General features: G+C 36.8%; 1 long non-coding RNA gene and 1 pseudogene across 2 annotated transcripts in view; one reads left to right on the top strand and one right to left on the bottom strand.

The window, feature by feature from the left end:
* Window positions 1–666: 666 nt before the first annotated feature.
* The window catches only part of LOC107984381 (uncharacterized), a 28155-nt gene continuing 7567 nt past the window's right edge, over window positions 667–21254 (bottom strand). The window contains exons 2-3 of the long non-coding RNA XR_001748352.2: window positions 18408–18461; window positions 667–827 (exon numbers count right to left, since the gene is read on the bottom strand). This is a non-coding gene — a long non-coding RNA (uncharacterized LOC107984381). The remainder of the gene's footprint in view (window positions 828–18407; window positions 18462–21254) is intronic.
* On the top strand, window positions 5291–14219 carry CASP1P2 (caspase 1 pseudogene 2; annotated as a pseudogene). Its single transcript, NR_131905.1, has 5 exons — window positions 5291–5322; window positions 5903–6217; window positions 10576–10810; window positions 11206–11349; window positions 12751–14219. The product of NR_131905.1 is annotated as a caspase 1 pseudogene 2 (transcript).

The following is a 21254-nucleotide window of genomic DNA, read 5'->3' as shown; positions in this document are numbered from 1 at the left end:
GGAACTGCTTTGCAACTGCCAGACCATACTTATGCAGGCCTGGCTGGGCTTCCAATGCTTACATGGCAAAAACATTAGTATTGTCCTTGTAGGTTTCCTACAGTATTCAAGAGAACAGCCTCCTGTAAGGTATAAAACAAATCCTAGGATAAGGAGTACAATTCTCAATTTTAAAAGGAAAGATTCTAAAAAGAATTTTAAAAGGAAAGATTTGAAAGCACTAGTTTAGAGACTTCTAATCCACAAATATTTTGGGATTTATTCCAAATTGCAGAAAAAAAAAACTCAAGGACAGCTAACAACAGGTGTATTATAGATTTTCTTTCAAAGCATAATTTTTCTCTTTCCAGACTCATTTTTATTAAGAACAAATTATGATAGAAATAATTTGTTTACAAAAATAAGCTTTAGTCTTACTGTACTTGACCTGATTATTTGCATAAGGTGCAACAGATAATTATTTTTCAGTTAGGCTGTTTTTTGTTTAAATTGGCTTTGATGGAACTCTGTTCCATGAGCAATCTCAGGTAAGACTTTTCAAGAGCCGAGTCCAGCCATGCGTTCGTACACTCAAATACCTATGAGTTGGGTAAATTCCTCTCCTCTCAAGGTCCCAAGATAAATTGGAGCTCCTGAACCTGTTAGACAGTGATATTCTTCACTTACCAGAGATCAAGAAACTTGTACAAGGACTCTGTGTAGACAAGGTATGAAGCCAGATTCCCCAAGGGATTTCATTGTTTCTATGAGTCAACTTCGATTCTTTAAAAGAAGCACAGCATTCCAGTCAAAGCCTTGATAAAACAACCAATTTCTCCGATTGTGTCCTGTTACAAAAAAAGAAAAAAAAAAAAAATCTTATTGCACTTATGCAATTAACTATGCTCCCATAAATTGTGAATACTTACAAATAGCTTCCAAATTCTGGAGAAATCAGATAGAGAGAAACAAAGATGGTTCAAAATTTTTTCACCAGAGCATATTTTACTCACTTGTTAAAAGTTGCAAATAGCTCTAAAGAAATAAGTTATCTTGACTCTGAAAACAAAAGGATTAGTGATATTTAACATATAAGGTCTTCATGAGAGTCCTAGAAGTTTCATTTTTTCCTCCATTCCAATAGCACAATTTTTAAAGTTATCTGACACCTGCATTCAAAGTCCTATATCTGATTATAAACTGCCATTTGAAAAGGACCAAAGCAAGACAAAATATCTGTTGATGACAAAAGCCTATAGACACTATTAAAGTTATAATTGACTAGGAATTTGGCTTACTTCTGTGGCATCCCACAATTTTACATAACAATGATAATTACTAATAATGTACACTAAATAATATCAGAATTACAGAAGTTTATATAAATACACAGACAGAAAACTCCGGGCTTGTAAGATTTTTCATTTGCCAGCTTTAAATTGGATTACTAGCTTCAGGGTGGAGCCCTTGGAGGAACAGGGTCAGGAAAGCATGCATTTTTTTCTGAGCTAAATAAGCAGCCACAGCTGAAGGGAAAGACAGATCTCCAGAATTAAGGGTGTCATTTTATACTGGATGCTTGATCCCCAAAAGGAGGAAAATACTACCAGAGAAGACAGTGTGGTGCTTCTACCCTGCATTTTGTTGCAAGGCAACCTAAAGCCAATCAGCCCATTTTGAAATCAGCCCATCCCCCATGGGAATCTCATCTCTCAGTCAAGGGTAAGGATGTTTCCATATCTTCCAGGTGTCCAAGTGCATGTTTCTCTAATCCAAGTGTGCAAAGAGCCAAGTATGCCTCCAAAAATACTCTTGGCCATCCATTAAATATATTTCCTACCTAGTTATTACATACCAAAGCTCTCTCATAATGCAAAGTAATTTCTGATCCCCCCAAAACTCAAACTGTCAGATAACACAATGCAAAACAGAATAGAGCCTTTGATTTTGATAGGGATCTATCTACTGTTAATTCCTGGGGTTTCGGGAAGAAAACAGAGCGGTTTCTTTTTGTTTGCTTTTTGTTGTTGTTTTTTTTCCAAAACGAGGTCTATGGTGCCTCCTCTGTTTTTCCCAAGGAGTCGCAGGCTACCAGAAGTTATTTTAGGGCCTCTCATGTGTGCATTAAAAGTGGCAAGACAAAAAATGGAAAAAAATAATTCAGTTGACTAAGAAGAAAAAAACTCCCCCCTCAGATAAGTAGTGATTGAATTTCTATCAATATACGTTAGTTTTTTTCTAATTTAGAACTTTATATAATTGGAATCCCAGGGTATGTGTTCCCTCCTATATGGCTTCATTCACTCATAATGAATGCAGCAGTTTTTTCATTCATATTATTACATATCTTAGTAATATTTCCCTTTTATGACTGAACAGCATTTCAGTGTATGTATATAGCACAAATTATTTACTTATGCTCCTGAATTGGTTATTGAGTTGTTTCCAGTTTTTGACATCTCCATTTTTGAGGAACAGTGGGCCCTTGCAATCTAGTTGCTCAATGTTTAGCTTCCCAGGACATGAGACTCAAGGCTTATGGTTCTACATCCCCAGATATATGGTCTAGTCATGATTTCTGTGTCCTGGATGCCGCTTTGGCATGCTTCAACTCAGTGGTTCCTGGCTCTATCTGGGGAAGAAACCTTCACGTGAAAGTTAGCAGAAAAAATAAATTAATCAGTAAATAAATTTAAAAGCAAATGATTGGAAGAGAAGTAATTTACAGGCAATTTCTGCTTTCTTTCATGCTACAAATCCTCCCAGTGGCAAGGAGCACAAGATTGTGCTGCAAATGGATTAAGTCATTGCCAAAGTAAAGATAAAACTTTGCCTGATTTTCTCACCCCAGAAAGTTTTTCATGCCCATTGTACTCAATTTCCTGCCACTTCCTCCTAAGATAAGTAGTGATTAAATTTTTACCACTATACATTAGTTATTTCTAATATAAACCTTATTTAATTGGAATCACAGGATATATGTTCCTTTGTATATGGCTTCTTTCACTCATCATGAAATCATAATGTTGTCATCCATGTTACTGCATAAATTAGTATTTTTTTCTTTTGTGACTGAATAGTATTTCAGTGTATGTGTATAGCACAAATTGTTTACTTATGCTCCTGAATTGGATATTGAATTGTTGCCAGTTTATGACATCTTCATTTTTGAGGAAACAGTGAGACCTTGCAATCTAGTGGCTCAATGTTTAGCTTCCCAGGACAAAAGACTCATGGCTCATGGTTCTACATCCCCAGATACATGGTCTAGTCATGGCTTCTGTGTCCTGGATGCCATTTTGTCATACTTTAACTCACTGATTCATGGCTCTGCCTGGGGGCGAAAACTATGTGTGAAATCCTTAAGTTAATAGAGAAAATAAAAGAATCTGTACATAAATGTAAAAGTAAATGAATGGAAGAGAAGTGATGCACAGGTAATTTCTGCTTTCTTCCATGCTCCAAATCCTCCCACTGTCAAGGAGCTCAAGATTTTGCTGCAATCTGACTAGGTCATTGACAAAGTAAAGATAAAAAAAAAATCATGAGAAAGCCCCTTGGGTTAAAAGCCACATCATTTTCCTTCTACACAGTGCATTCTAGTCTAACCTAAACACGTTTAACTCATCGCTTAGAGCACAGGAAGTAACATTGGTGGCCCACATGTCAAAAGGTGGATGTTTTTGTGACTCCTGGTCCTTATTCTCCAAAGATAACAAGGTAATGACACAAGAAAGTTTTTGTTAAAGAAATTGATAAATGTAAAGTACTGTCTGCATTTTTTTTATTAGTCCAACTTGCATCAAAGAGGTTCATAAAATAAATTGGCCTCATTGAGTTTATTTCTGGAATTATCAATTGAACATGTGCTTGCAAAGACAGAGACCTCTTCTGGCCTTCTCTGGCTTCTCATTCTACAGTTTTCATGAGTCCTAAAACATTTTGTCTCCCATTTCTCCAATTAATTTCTTATTCTTCTCATCACTTGCCATATTTGCACATTCTGAATATTCCAGTTACATACTACATACCAGGCTTCATGTTTGTCTTCCCCTCTTGTATGTGAGAGCAAGGGGGAAATGACCATGATATGTTTTGACTGAACCCCTGGCTCCTAGAACCATATCGTCCATATATATTTGTTGAGTGAATGACTAGATGCACTGCTTGAAGAGTCTAACGAAAGATAAACTTAGCTGGATAATCTGCAAATAATTATCCTTGATTTTTCTAATGTAAAATATTTGTATTAATTATAGTAATATCACTCATTATCTGCTTACCATTTGCCAGGCAATGTTGCATGCATTTTGGACATTTTGTCTCACTTAATGCTCAATGTGTAGGTATGTACTATTATTAAAATTATTTCACAGGCAGAGGAACCAATGCATAGGGAAGTTCAATTTCTTGCCCAAGAAATGAAGTTTAAGATGCTAAGTTCAACATTCTGAGTCCAGAGCCTGTGCTCCAGGCCTCTATGAGGTAATGTTCCTCAAAAGAAAGCCATCCAGGATGGGTGGGTGGCTCACAGCTGTAATCCCAGCAGTTTGGGAGGCCAACGTGGGTGAATTGCTTGAGTGCAGAATATCAAAAACAGCCTAGGAAACATAGGGAGACCTTGTCTTTACAAACATAAAAATATTATCCAGCCGTGGTAGCATGTGCTTGTGTTCCCAGCTACTTGGGAGGCAGAGCTGAGAGGGTCATCTGAGCCTAGGGAGGTGGAGGCTGCTGTGAGCCCTGTTAGTGCCACTGCACTCCAGCCTGTGTGACAGAATAAAATTCTGTATCAGAAAAAAAAATCTGAAAAGGAAGGACATTAAATAGGAAAAGCTTTAATTTTTGTGAAAAATGTGTTCATTTCTTGAAGTAAAATTGCTTCACAGGGACATACATTTCCCATGACTTTCCCTAGACTGTGAAATGGGCCCAGGAGAGTAGGGGTTCAAATTCTCTAAAGGTTGTGTTACTTTTCTCCATCAAGTTTTCTAATGAATGAGAAACTCTTCACTGTGTGAGTTTAATTGTACACATACTTTGTCATTCTTGTCTTATTCTCCAAGCCGCATTCCCCTCTTACCCTGACTTGTTCCAAAAGCTGGTGAAGAAAATTTCCCAAAGATACACTCTCTGTTGCAGTCTACAGTTCAGGAATGTGATTCTCACTCTATTAAAAATATGAAAAAATAAAAAAAAAGACATGCGTATGCATGTGCAGTGGTTGTTTCCCAATAAGTGTACACGCCCTGCCAAAAAGGTATAAAAGGAAGGTGAAAAGAAAGGTGAAGCATGCTTTCAGTTTCAGCTCACACAAGAAGGGAGGAGAGAAAAGCATGGCCGGTGAGTCTTTTACTGTCCCAAAAACAGGTCCCTGGGAGGAAAGAGTTGTGGAAGGCGCTGGCTCTTTTGGAAGCTATAATTAGTATCTGTGGAAGTTTACTTGAGCAGAAGTGAGGGAGAGGGAGGAGAGGGAGGAGAGAAGAAACTAGTTGACTCTTTCAGTCTTTAGAAAGGAAAGGCAAGCCCAGAAAGGAACTGAGGCTTTAGGAGCAGCCTGCTGTCATTTTGCAATCTTATTTAAACTCTTACATCTTGTAAGTGTGGCAGAGGCTACAGAATTGGCACAGGAGGAGTACTAGCAGCAGTGGTTCCTAAATGAAATGGGCTATTTCTGCTTCATTACTTTATTATTCTGAGTTAAATAAACATGGGACATAAGAGGATGATCTCTGCTTTCCAGGGACTGATGTGGAAATGGTAAACTCAGTCTTCAGTCCACTCCATGCACATGTATGGAGACTACTGAGGGAAACAAGAAGGACAGCGATAAAGTAAGAGGAGGGATAACCCAACTGTGAGGAGGGGGACATTTCACTGATGAAATCTAAATGAGGTCACTTTCTGTTGATGACATGAGAAGAATATGAGGCTGTGTTCATGATGTGAGACATCCTTGTGCTCCAAACAGACATGATCCTCCTGAAGAAGAGACGGCTGCTTATCAATTCATTGGGTGAAGGTACAATAAATGGCTTACTGGATGAATTATTGGAGACAAATGTGCTGAGCCAGGAAGACACAGAGATAGTAAAATGTGAAAATGTTACAGTTATCGATAAGGCCCGAGATTTGCTTGACTCTGTTATTCGGAAAGGGGCACGGGCATGTGAAATTTGCATCACATACATTTGTGAAGAAGACAGGTACCTGGCAGGGACGCTGGGACTCTCAGCAGGTAAGGGTCAGTGACTCACACTCAAGTTCACCTAGGGCCTGTCATTGTGACTACCATGTGATGTCTTTACTAGCCATGTTAAGTTGCAGAAAACTTCCTTCTCTCTGGCTTTGGGCAATATTTCTGTAGCAGGGGCCCTATTGCATATCCCTTGACTCTCCTTCGTTTCTGTTCCTTCATCCTCAGTGGCCCTCTTCTGATTAAAGCTCATTTCCTGTTCTGAGTACATGGTAGCTAATTTCCTGAAGCTCTTGAGAACTATCTAAAAATCTTCACACTATATGTTCCACTGTTCCTGGTGAGGCACAATATTTATTGATTGATTTAGTATTTTTGAGTCCAGGCTGTACCCAGGCACTTATGTAGTTGTCTGACATGAAGTTTTAAGTCTGTAATTAACTACATTTTGTACTTCTCTCCAAAATTTTGCCCTCCAAGAAGAATAAATTATATTTCAAAAGTGGCGATATACTCAGAGAATACACTGAATGATTATAGAAAAGTAAGGATTTCAAGTTGGCTTTTTCCTCCCGTTGCCTCCTTGCATTTTCTTTTGAGTAAGATCACCCACTTGCCTGTTATCAGGCTGTGGATCATGCTGTGAGCCCTGGACTGCCTCCATTTGTGGCCACCTTGTGACCTGATACAGTGCACAGGAAATGAGTTGGCCCATTCCTGTGATCCCTTGGACCTACCCCATGGTGAGGATGAGAGTTCTGGTGGACTCCTAGTTACTGGTCTCTGTGGTACTTTCCAATGCCACTTCAGAGGCAGATGTTCTTTCAAAGTAAAAGGCTTTTTAAAAAAAAAAAAAAAAATTTTATTTTTCTAAGGGTTAGAGGAAGCTTATGCCTGTCTAAGCAGACATGGGATAAGTTTATGTTTTCATCTATGTGTAATAAATATCATATTTTTCTGAAAACGTCTCTTTCATTTTATACCCCCCACCACTCTCTAAATTAAAGACCATCTTGAGCGTTATTTAATGTCGTTCAGTCAGGGTTGTGGGAGGAATCTTTAGTGGGGAGTGTTGTAGGCATCAGGGTAAAGTTTTCCAGAGATGATAAGTGACTATTTCAATGTCCTTCTTCTTTTTCTGCTCCATCATCTGGAAGTCACCTTACTACACAAGACTCTCAAGTAGTAATTCCTCCTAGGTAATGCTGTTTTTAAAGGAAGAGCATTCTTTGAACCCTGTTTTCTTTGACATTAATGTTGTAGAATGAACCACAGTTAAAGGGGCTATGGAGAATTCCCACAGAGTGATCATATAATTTTCTTTTTGTAATCTATTCTGCTTTTGTAGCAACTGTCAAAACAGCTTCACTATCTATGTTTATATTAAAAATTCGGAATCTGTGTCTCAAACCCTGATCACCCAAATAAGTACCAAACTTCATCATTTAAGCCTACTGAAATAGTCCCTCACATCTTCCAGAGACACCTTTATCTAAACAATATCAGAGCTGAACATGCCATTCTTCCACACCTTGCTTCTCTTCCAGTTTTGTGTAACTCGGTTGTTGGTGTCACCATCACTAGTTGTTCAAACCAAGCACTTGAAACTCATCTTGGCCCCTTTCCTTTCACGCATCTCCAATATTCAAGCCATGGCCAAGTTTTATGCATTCTTCTCCCAAATTTGGAACTGTGTCTGCATTTCTACTTCTATTTCATTAAAAAACCCCTATTCATCAAGGGCCCTCTTCTATTTAGAAACAATTTAGAGGCTAGAAATGCACATTTTTTTAATCAAGGTCAGGCATTACTCTATTGAATTTATTAAGGTTGATTAATTCATGTATGTATCCTTAAATATTTTAGAGCATGGGATATTCACTATATAATGAAATACTGTATTTTCACTAAGAAAAAATACCTCAGAAATAACCCATATATTTCTATTTTGTTTTTTTATATTGTTTTCATTCTTCTTTCTCAAGAAACCAAACATTTATTCTATCAAATTATTATTTTATAGTTTACTCCAATATATCCATTCTAATTATTTCTTCCCCATGTCACCACACTTCATGCTGCCTTTATTTGTCTAACTGATTGTATAACAGTTTCTCAACCTTGTTTTCAAAATTAAATATTATTTTCTTGACTTAATAGTTTCTAAAAGATACTCCACAAATCTAGAAAACTCATTTCTATCTTGAAACAAAGATTACATTAACTTCTCTAACAAGTGATCACATTGTCAGATGGTGTTGAACCTGTGATGAAGTAAAAGTTTCAAGAATTTTCTCATATAAACTCTGTGAAAACATTTCCTCATAGGTCTGTGCAGTCAATGTTAAGTGCTATAAATCCATCTAGTGTGCTCTTTGATGTTAGCATTTATCATACTATTTTATATTCATTCTAGTTCATATAATTAATAATCTCCTCCTTCCATACATGTACATAGTAGGAAGAGATCCTGAAGAACAGGACAAGGGTTCATTAACAAAATATTCCTAGTGCTTACTACCATTTCCATTAATAAATAAATACAAACATAAGCATATCTCTCAGAAATTTTTAGTAGCTTTAATTAAGACTGCCTCCCATTAAATTTTATTCTATGGTTCAAATCTTTTGAAACAAATTTATATTCTAACGATTTGATCTTACACATTTGATTGTTTTCTGAGCATTTTATCATGCATGGCCTTGAAAATCTTCCTTTCTACATTTTTATCTGCAATATTTGTGAAAATACTGATCCTGAAATATGAAAGGAGATCCCTGTATTGCACACCTGGAATTCTCTGGCTGGAAATGTACTCCATTAGCAGTGAAATTACTCAGCGGTGAGAGATCAGGATTGTCTTCCTAAGAATGTATTTCCACTTTCGTGGCTTCATCCTTAGGTGAGGCTGTAAGAAACACAAAGCAGAACAAAGAGGGATGCCAATGTTCATGATATTCTTTGACTCTTGCGACTCCTCAGGCAGTGCCAGTGTGGGACAACCCTGCTATGCCTACATCCACAGGCTCAGGAGGAAGCGTTAAGCTTTGCTCCCTAGACTAAGCTAAAAGGATATGGAAAGAAAAGTTGACAGAGGTGCCATGCTCAGAACATAAGGATAGAGTGGGGTGAAAGATATACTTGTGGTGATTCTAAAATGCAGTGACTTTTTCTTAGAGCTGTTCTCAATGGAGAATCTTACTTCTGCTTCCCTTACATAAAAAAAAAAATTCCTGTATCCTAGAATCCCAGGTTTATAGAAACAGTTCCTAACTGCACCCAATTCCTGGATAAATAACATCAACAATGACAGCTATTGAATGTTCACTAACAGTGGCCGGTGTTCTAAGCATTCTATGATAATACATAATTTTTAACCTTAAAAAAACATTTTAGAGATCAAGAAGCTGAGACATGGGATTGTTAAATATTTTGCAAAAAGAAAAACAATCAGAAATTGGAGCAGTCAGTTTTAGAATTCAGTCATTCTTGCTTCAAAGCTTGTGCATTTTTCAAAATCCTACCTATCAACAGCAATGAAGTCAGTAGTTCACCTGCCATCTGGGCATTTGCAATTTCTATGCCTACTCTCGAAGTAGCACTCAATTCCATTAGCCATTTTCAATGTATAGTCCATGGGATTTGGTATCTTGATAGAATTAAGAAAGGGTAAACAGTCATAAATTTGCCAGGGGAATATTAAATTACAGAGAATAAATTACTGCTCATCCAAACTGCATTTCCTACACATTTATCCAATAATGGGCAAGTCAAGCCGCACACGTCTTGCTCATTATCTGCAACGAAGAGTTTGATAGTCTTTCTAAAATAACGGGAGCTGAGGTTGACATCATAGGCATGACGATGCTGCTGCAAAATCTGGGGTACAAGGTGGACGTGAAAAGAAATCTCACTGCTTGGGTAAGGTCTATTACACCTTAGAGAGAATGGTCACGCCCTTCCTATAACTAAATAATATTAGAAAGCTTGGTTGTAGGACCAAGAAATGTAATCTTTTGATAATATAAAATATAAACTTGCCATGGGAGGGTGCTGGATGCTACAAGTTCCCTTGAAACATCAGAGTCATTCAGCATAAGCCTGGTTTAACTTAATTGTGAAGTGCTTTTTTTTTGTTTAGTTTTTTGTTTTTCATTTCGTTTTCTTTTGTTTGTTTGTTTAACTCAGTAATGCCACGTTCTCTCTACAAGGTAACTCTGAATGACTTCCTAAAACCCCTTCCTTCACCTTTCTCGAAATTAAGACTTAAAGTTTTTTTGGCACTCCATTGTTTGTCATGGAATTCCTTAAGAAATCCTTAAGTATTTATTTATTGGCTTTCCAAGGTTCCATGAGAGTTAATTACATAGTCCAAAATCAGTGGTATGGTCTCTTTCAGGAAATGACTACAGAGCTGGAGGCATTTGCTCACCGCCCAGAGCACAAGACCTCTGACAGCACCTTCCCGGTGTTCTTGTCTCATGGTGTTCGGGAAGGCATTTGTGGGAAGAAATACTCTGAACAAGTCCGTGATATATTACAACTCAATGAAATATTTAAAATGTTGAATAGCAAGAACTGCCCAAGTTTGAAGGACAAACCCAAGGTGATCATCTTCGAGGCCTGCTGTGGTGGTGAGTGCTGATGTCCTTGAGAACACCAGACATTCTAATGCTGTCCTCATCTGTATGGATCCAGGGTTTTTCAGTTTATGTCTGTTTATTAATGTCAAAGAAAACGTAGTGTCATCACTCAACATGTGGCTTCTGTGAATTGTATGACTGGTTGGTAGATATTTGTTTCATTTTCAATCCTGAGACTTTGATGTTTGGTTGTTTTTAAAATTTGTTTGAGTGTTAGAAGAAATAAGAATTGTTGAAAAGATTGTTACTTGAATGAATGTGTGCATGTGTACGTGAATTAATGATACAGCAAATATATTGATAAATATGATTGAACAGAGGCTAAGAGGAGAACGTTGTCCTCTCAGCCACTGGTAGTAGTAACAAACCAAATTTTGTCTTTCCAGAGAACCATGGTGTGGTGTTGGTAAAAGATTCATTATGAGTCTCTGAAAATATATCTTTACCAACTCTGGGAGATTTTGAGGATGATGCTATTAAGAAAGCCCACATAGAGAAGGATTTTATTGCTTTCTGCTCTTCCGCATCAGGTAACAGGTTTCTTGTACACAGAATATCTTTGTGGGTGTTATCAATAGAAAAACTCACAACCACCCACTAGAGGGTAGATAAGTGTACAGAACTTTAGATAAGATTTTTGAACACAAACTAAAGCTTTGTTCCAAGTCATACACACAATTCTCTTTATCCACAGAGAGCAAGTAAGCACATCTTTTCATTGAGTTGGTAATTAATGAACTCCTCTCTGTTGCAAAATATTTTAGAACTGTGAGAGATAACAGAGAATTAAATGGAAGACGATCCGCGCTGTAGCACATAAGAATCTGACTCTGCGTAGGAAAGGTCCTCCATGTTGAGATCATTCAATGGACCAATAGGCCCCGACATCAAGTATTCACAGGAGACGAGTAGGAGCAGTGTTCAGCAAAGTAGAATAGCAAGCGAGGAACTTTGGGCCCCTAAATTAAAGTGGGTTTTACCTAGAAGCATGAAGTATATAAAGCAGAATATATATGCATTATTCTAAAGGTATGCTTTGCAGTAAGAATATTGCTATTATTGACTCATCTAGTCATTTAGTACTTTGTAAACTAGCTCCACTTTTTTATCCCTGGGCTTTCCTTGAATTGCTCACTAAAATATAGGAATATAAATATCATTTTTCTATGGATTAAATAAATTAATATATGTGAATTATTGCACATGACACAGAAAGAAGTACACGTTAAAGGACTGGTGTTATTTAAAATGTTTTTATCGTAGAACTTAATCCAGTTACTTTTCTTAGCAAGGTTTAAATAAAGATCACTTGAATGCTTTCATCCACCTTGTATGGCAGTTTCCTGAGAGGACTTGCATTCTCTTGGTCACCTCTGGCCCAAACGCCCAGCCCCTGCTCAAATAGTTAAATTTTCTATAATATTTTGTACAATGAGATATCTTCTTTCAGAAGAAGTTTGGTTCTATATTGTCTTGAACATGCCCTGATGTAGAACTCTATATTTTTTCAATGATCAAAAACAATGAAAAGACACACACCAAAAACATACATTTCCAGTCTGAGTACATATAGTAGACTTTAACATTAGACAGAACTGTTCTTTAATATCTTTTGGTCCCAGCCTTCCACATGACATTCACAGTTCTCTATTTAGCTCTGTATATAGCTATTTTCCAAAACCCAATTCCTTCCCTTTAACCCATTCTGCCTTTTCCTAACTCTCTACTAAATTTACGACTGTGTGAACTCAGGGACTATGTCATTTTAATGCCTGCAACATATACAGCACCGGTTAGAGTATAAGTAAAAATACACTCACTGAACTTCAAATGGATTCACTAAAATTACAATGAAGTGTAGGGAAAATAGATGAATTCCAAAACATGCCTCAGCTGGAGCAGAAATACTAGAGTTTCTTCTCTTTCTTCAGGCAAGAGCCAGTCTTGAGATGTGAAATGTGCTTTATCAACTGATAATGTTTCTTGGAGACATCCCACAAAGGGCTCTGTTTTTATTATGAGACTCATTGAACATCTGCAAGAATATGCCTGTTCCTGTGATGTGGAGGAAATTTTCCGCAAGGTAGGGCTCTGGTGGATGCTATTTTCACTCTACTTCCCTGAATGCTTGGCTATTGCAATTGGAAGCATAGAAAGCAGATCCAGACATGTTTATCCTCCAATAATACCCTTCTTTCCAAAAGAGTTTTGAAATTCTTTGGAGAGTGAACAAGCCTGGGAGCCAAATCCAATCTATTAAGACCCACAGGCTCAATAAAACAATCATTTATTTTCACCCTTCCCCTGACCTGCAGAGACAAATGAGCGGACTCTAATTCGCCTGTGTCTCCCTCATGGCTATTAGAGCCAACCGCAGATTTAAAAAGCCCCAAGGAGGGTCATTCAATGCTTAGATAAGCACATGGCTATACTTGTTGCAGACACAAGTACTTTTTGTTTTTGTCACTTATTTTGCTATATTTGTTGTAGTCTTTTTGGCATGAGTCAACAAACTTTTCAGAAAAACCGGTCTCCAGACTTTCCTTTCTCTTTCGGGTTCGACTTTCATTTGAGCAGCCAGATGATAAAGCACAGATGCCCAGCACTGAAAGGATGACTTTGACAAGACGTTTCCACCTCTTTTCAGGACATTAAAATAAGGAAGCTGTATGAATATCTGAGGGCAGGTATGTGTGTGTGGTTGGGAGTGTGGGAAGGTTAAGGAAAGCGTACTGAAAGTCCATTTTAGTCCAGGACTCTAGGTCTACAGGCCTAGAATTTTTAATCCAAAAATTTAAATTTTGAAATGATCTGAAATCCAAAACTGTGTGAGAACCCACATGATATTCAAAGGAAATGCTTATAGAAGCATTTCAAATTTTAGGATTTTGGAATAAGGATGCTAAACCAGTAAATATAATGCAGATATTCCAATATACAAAAATATCTGAAATTCAAAATATTTCTGGTAGCATGCGTTTTGGATAAGGGATAATCAATCCATAGTATAATATACAGAAAATACTGAAGTAATGCCTTTCTTCTGGTCACTGCAGAGCACGCTGCTCTTCTTCCAAAGTTTTTCTTTTAGACTCTTTCTGAGTGTCGGCTGATAGGAACCTAGAAGTGGCCGTAAGACTATGAACCCTCACTTTTAGATATTTCTCCCCTTCACCTCAGCAGGGTAACATTTTAAAATAGCATGCAGTCTTTCCTTTTAAGATTGTGTGTGTTCTCATTGGTGGTATAACTTTATTACTTACATTTCTTTTAGCAAAATTCTCTTTTATGTTTTTTTTATCCCCCCCATAGATAACCAAGGCTTCCTTCATTCTATAATGGTTTTTGGAATTATATCTGTTTAATAATAGACTTTTTTGAATATTTTAATAAATTTGATATAAAAATAAAAACGTGTCCTCAGTTTCTTTCCACAGTGGAGAAACAGAGGTTGGAAATCAGAGGAAGTATTGAATTTAGAATGTTAGGCTTAATTCATAAGACCTGAACTGCGTATTAGCACCATTTTTTCATTCGAAAAACCATTTGCTGGGGTTTCTGCTTTAGGGATGCAGATACAAATTACCACAGGTACCTGACTTCAAAAAATTTGGAGCTCAGCAGGAGAGATGGGGAGAAGACAGATAGTTATGACAGTGACAGTGCAGTGTGATAAGAGACTTTTCCCAAATCCCACAGTTCACTACTGACAAATCCATGAGTAGAACCTGCATATTTCTACTCTTTGTTAAGGTATTTAAGAGAGAGAAAGTAAATTTTGAATTAACTCTAGACCCTTAGTAGTTGACAGACTTCTTGCAAAGGTAAGACAGCCATCAAAAATGAAGCGCTTGGCAGACAGTGCATGACACCCTGAAGAAACTCTAGGATCCATGGTGTGCGCAGTGAAGTCCCTGCATGGTGCAGATAAAACAAGTTTGGGGTGAAATCATTCACTCAGGGATGTTAAGATTTAGGGAGGATTCGAAGAACTACCATTTCTCCTGCAAATATGAGCCTTTTCTAATCTTTAACCTATAAATCAAAGTGAATATCTGACCTTTTAAAAATCTTCATAGTTGAACACATTACAGACCCCCTTATTTCTGGCCTTTTATTAACTGTCTGGGCATATCTTTTCTGTACTATCATGCATATTCTACTACAACCTGAGACTATATCTGTGATCAGTCTTTGCTCAGCGAGTATCAAAAAGCAGAAGTAAATTGTCACCTTCCGTAAAAATTAACTGTTAATGCAATCTTAGGCAGTTGAAGGAAAGCTTTCCCGGGAGTAAGGGGATTCCTTCCGAATGATCTCCAATCAAAAGGTAGGATGACCAGGAGATGTGGAGGAGAAGACACCGTCATGATTTCTCAGCACAGTTTAAACAAGAAATACATTTATTGAATAAAAAATCCTTTCGTTATTTCTTTTTTGTTGTTGTTGACTTTGTTAAATATCAGTTGGTTACAGGTGTGTGGTATTATTTTGGCGTTCTCTATTCTGTTCCATTGGTCTATGTGTCTGTTTTTTTGTACCATTACCTTGCTGTGGGGTTACTGTAGACTTGTATAGCTTGAAGTCCAGGAATGTGATGCCTCCATCTTTGTGAAAAGCAGTTTGGAGATTTACCGAAGAACTAAAAACAGAACTATCATGTGACCAAGTAATCCCATTATTGGCTAAATTCCCAAAGGAAAATGTACTGTACTATCAATAAGACACATGCTTTCAGATATTTGTCAACAGCACTATCCACCATAGCAAAATCGTAGAATCAACCCAGGTGCCCATCAATAGTGGATTGGATAAAAATAAAATTGGTACATACCTACCATGGAATAGTACACTGCCATATAAATTCAAATATTATACTTTCCAGCAATATGGATGCAACTGGAGCCCATTACCCTAAGCAAATTAATACAGAAACAGAAAACTAAGTACCACATGATCTGACTTATAAGTGATAGCTAAATAGTAGGCACTCATGGACATAAAGATGGAAATAATAGACACAGGGAGCAACTAGAGGAAGGAGTGAAGGAGGAGGGCAAGAGCTGAAAAACTATATACTGGGTGCTACTCTCACTACCTAGGTGATGGGTTAAATCATACCCCAAACTTCAGCATCACATAATATACCTTTTTAACAAACCTGCGTGTGTATCCCTGAATCTAAAAAAACAATTGAAATGAAAACAAAAAGTGAAATGTAAACTATTTGGTTAATTATTACGGGAAAATGCAAGGAGACTAGTTAAATTTTACTCATTCAGGACATGTATTTTAGATTAGCTGAGGTAGAAAAACTGACAGATCAGAAGAAAGGATGAACAGAAGGAGGTGTGGGGGCCATGGTATTCTTCATGACAATTTGAATAACTTGTGAAGAAAAAAAGTTCTGATATTGAAGAGAAAGGAAAAGAAAAAATATTATGCCGAAATTGAAGACAAAGCCCTCATCTTGCTAGACAATGTGCTAAAGAACCCTGTGGCTGGACAAAAGTCTATCGAGACCCTACTTAATACGTACCAAAAGTCCACCAGTATGAAAGGTAAGATTGGTATTTTACAATGGATATCTCCATTTTTTTAGACTCTATTCAACTCCAAGGCCCATGCAGTGTCTTCTGTGATCTCTCTATCCTTCCTTTACAAATCTGTCATTTTCATTAAACCTGTGATTGTTCTTTAAGGGACTACCTTGCCTTTTGTGGGGTGGGATCCAGTTTCCAACTGGCTAAAAGGCTGAGTCCTCAGGTTCAGACTGTTCATAGAAATAATTAATAGTAGATGCTTTGTAGTAAGAGATACTCAAATCTAAACCTAGATTCTGTCAGTAAAGTATATGTCTTCCTGCATGTATCTTAAACGCTGTAGCTGACTAATCATCAGTCTTACCACATATAAAGCAGGGACAATTCCAGTCCTTTTTCATAAGACTATGTAAAGCTAGAGGCAATATAATGCCAGGCATCACATACCAACAACTTCCAAGATATTAGGCCTCATCCAGAACTCTCTCCTTGGAGCTCCAGATTCATTTAGCTGTAGCAGCATATTCAACAATTCCACTAGAGTGTTTCACTGGCATCACAAAATGAATACAGCTGAAATTAACCATTTTGTTTTCCAGAACAAACCTGTTCCACTTTTAACCCTTTTCCATTTAAGTAAAAAGAGCTAAAATATACTAAGTTTCTGCCACCAGAATGTAACTAGTTTCTTCAATAATTAATAGGAGTAAGTACTAGAGATCCTGGCACATAGCAGATACGTAATTAATATGTGATGAATAAACAGATGAAGTGTATGCATGCAATAAAGAGTAGTTTTCCTAATTATTATTAGGATGCTACAAATTGGAATTTTTCAGTGTTTACTCATTTCTGTGAATTAAAAAAATATGATTGGGGAACTCCTATAAAATGTTTAAATTTTATAACTTTTTAAAACTTTTGACTGTAAGATTATATTATGAGTATTATTAGAGTTTAAATATTCTCAGATCCATGTTTTTCAGGGATAGACAAAATTTTCCATAGAATTACACTGAAATCTGCAGCCCTGAACTACTAGAGTTTACCAATAATTATATATTATTTATCACGTACAATTCTCATATATAATGAGCACTAAATTCCAAAATGAAATAACCTTTCTGATCAGCAGAGGTTGTGGCAGGAAGGAGGTAGCTGCAGATACCTGCAGCAGGGGTCCAGTGGCTCCCTGCACTCTATCTGCATTTGGATTCTCCAGAGTGATGGATCCCAGGACGTTTTAGGGTCACTAGCCCAGCAGACCAGGAAGCAGGTTAACAAGGCTATTAGAAGAGGTCTAGGCCTTGGCCAGGCCTTTGGATATGGTTATAATTCTGAGGTTTTCCAGCAGAGCATTGGATTCTGAAGTTCAGGATAAGAAGAATCCTAGCTATTTGTTTGTTTCATTTAACAAACCAACATATATATATATATAAAATATTATATATAATATAATATATAGATACACACATAATATACATATATTATGCAGTATATAGAAATCACAGTTCCAAGACTGTGATTTAGTCAGAGACATAGCCATGTAAACCCCTACATGCCATGGCAATTGTTTGTCTGACCCTATACCACTCCCTCTCTTTTTGTCTCAATGTAAAGAGATTCCAGGGGAGATTCCTGAGAGAGTCCTATTTCATTACATAACAGATAAGACTCAAATTGAAATGCTTATCTAAACTCCTGATTTCCACATTTCTTTCTGTTGTACTGCTAGGCTAATAGAAACTCTCTTTGGGCAGCAATCTGCACTATAATATTTATAATATTGTAATAAAATAACCATTTTCATGCTAACTTTACTATAGGATATGAGAGAAATTTTGTCTAATTTTTATTTTACCTAAAATCACTTTATATATATATAGATAGATAGATAGATATACAGATGCATATATAGATGCATCTATATCTATGTCTCTATCTCTCTATCTATCTATCTATCTATCTATCTAGATGCATAAAGGTCATTAAAAGATGACTATTAACTTAGGAAATTCTCCAAACCTGTAAACAGGAAAACATACCCCCAGACCTGGAATATATCAGGACCCTGGATGTCTTCACATTGGCAGAACTTTCTGAAATGAGAAGGAGGAACATATGTCACTGTTTAATCTATGAAGAAATATATGCTTAGAAGGTTTGGTTTCCTTACATACTCTTAAAACTTGTTGCATCCCCAGAGATCAGGTTTTTATCATACACTTTAGCAAGATATTTATTCTAAAATATCATTAAAAACGAATGGAAACAAATGATTGAAATAGAAAAAATACATGAAATATAACAAAACAATATAAATTGTAGACAGGATAATAGTACTTTACTCATAGTTCCTATGTCTTGATTGGGTCATGTAACCAAACATAAATACTATGCCTGTCCATTCTTTTCATGAAAAGAAACCTTGTTATTATATCTTAGTAAACTTTTCTTCTAATTTGTATGCATGAATTCTTTTTTCTTTTCCAGAAGGAAGGCTCAAGAATCTCCCAGTTTCTTGCACAATATCAGTCAAAAGAGATGAATATTATATTTCACAAGGGGATAGATCAGAATGACTATTACAAACTTATCCAAAAGAGATATATTATTTCCTCACATTATAAAACACAAGGTAAAAAACTTAGTGTTGGTTGTTCAGCACTTTGGAGGCAAGACGTCCACATTTACGTCAGAATCTCGTACAAATATTTGTCCCTTTGACCTTGGACACAGTACTATTGTCACTAGACAACATTTCTTCTTTGAATAGCTGATTTCAAAATTTGTTAAAAGATATCTGAAACCCGTTTCTTCTAGAAAAGTTGGTCATTCACTTAAAGTTTGCTTTTAAAATACCAGGATGGTACAGAAATCAATATTCTGTTAAGTGTTTGCTGTATATATGTATCTGTGTGTGGTGTGGACTAGGAGGGAACTATTACTCCAAAATGGAATGTTGTCTCATCCAGTTTTGTAGCCACATGTACCTATTAAGTACTTAACTTGTGGCTAGTGGCACATGTTGATAGAGTAATGTTTTGTATAAATTATAATAAATATATTATTGAAATTAATTATACCTTTTGTAAATGTGATATTACAAAATTTAATATTGCATGTGGAACTCACATTGTATTTCAAATAGATAGCACTCTGAACAGGTATTTATTTAGTACACTCTTGCCCAGACACAGTAGAAAGTCCACATGGATGAATCAGTACCATACAGTAAAACCACTGGAAAAATCAAACTGTTTTTCTGAATAGAGGAAGGCCAAATGTAACCCTAAATCATCAAGATTTTTTTTGCAGAATGATCAGAATCTGTGATTGCATTTTTTGTGTGTGGAGGGATGGAGGGAGATTTCTGCTTTCTTTATCAGGGAATTCCCTTTTCTTCTTCAACAACAATACATTTCCTTAAGCTGGAAGTTAAGCACAGCTATAATCCCTACAGGCAAAGAAGTCTTTTTCCTAGGATTTCTCTCTCTCTTTCTCTCTGTCTCAACTTTCTTAGGTGATAACCTGGGTCACAGAGGCAGAAGACATCACTTATATTGTGTGATATCCCACAGCTCTTCCACAAATCAAAGCTGGACCACCTGAATCAGCAGAATCTACAAATACTCTCAAGCTTTGTCCTCAAGAAGAATTATTGAGACCGTAAAGAAAAACCTGGAGAGATGCTGTGCTCTGTTCATGAAATGGACAAAAGGAGAGAATCAATTGCTTTCATTAAATGCACTATTTTTAATGGGGTCTTGCTCTGTTGCCCAGCCTGGAGTGCCATGGTGTGATCATAGCTGACTGCTGTCTTGAACACATGGGCTCAAGAGATTCTGCAGCCTCAGCCTCTCAAGCAGCTAGGACTACAGATGCACACCACCATGCCAGGCTGATCATTTTAATTCTTGTAGAGACATAGTCTCACTGTGTTGCCCAGATTGATCTCTAAATACTGGCTTCATGAGATCCACTGCCTTCACCTCCCAAAGCACTGAGATTACAGGCTGGAGCCACAGTGCCAGCCATAAATGCACAAATACTTAAAGCACTAAGTGACTGGGGGTGATGACAGTAGTAACCTTTATCATAGATGCTTTCAGCAAGGAAGGGTTCATATGGCTTCAAAAAGATACCAATACTCATTCAACCCATGATAAAACGTAGATTCATCATTTTTTCATTTATTGATTCTTGTATCTATTTGAGATATATTACAATTTCAGCTATAGTCACAGAAGAAAAATAGTTACATGATAGCATAGCTGAGTAATAATTATTTGTACTCTGGTTGAAAAGCCTAGATGTGAAGCATATTTGAAAAATATAATTAAAGCTTAAAAAACAGTATGTTGATATTTTTTAAATAGTACAAATATAATCATAATATGGAAGGCAAACAACCTCTGCTATATTCATTTTTACTGGTGCAGATGACATCTCTCAGTTTTTATGAAATTTGATTTGAACCTGAATATAAGAAATGTTTGAGTAGATGCAGAAGAAAAATAAGAAGAAAGGGAGTAGGAATTATTCTAGTTTCTTTAAGATTCTTGACTAATCATCCAGATATGTCCTGGTTCTTGCTCTGGGCTCTTGAGAGAGAGGAAAGCAGTGTCTTTTGATAGAGGTTAGGGAAGAGGGCAGCTATACGAGGTTTTAAAAAAACAAAATTGTGAAACATATGGAGATTGAAAAGAGACTCAGGTAATCAAAGTCACTTCATCTCCATCTCCTGCAGATCAATCTAATAAAAAAAAAAACAGAAAGATCTGCAAATACCTGGCTCTCATTATAAGCAATACAAAGTTTGACTATCTGACTCCAAGGAATGGGGCTCACTTCGACATCACGGGAATGAAGGAGCTGTTTCAAGGCCTGGG

This window comes from Homo sapiens, chromosome 11 (assembly GCF_000001405.40).
Source record: "Homo sapiens chromosome 11, GRCh38.p14 Primary Assembly".
NCBI classification, from domain to species: domain Eukaryota; kingdom Metazoa; phylum Chordata; class Mammalia; order Primates; family Hominidae; genus Homo; species Homo sapiens.
This window is presented reverse-complemented; position numbering and strand designations above follow the sequence as displayed.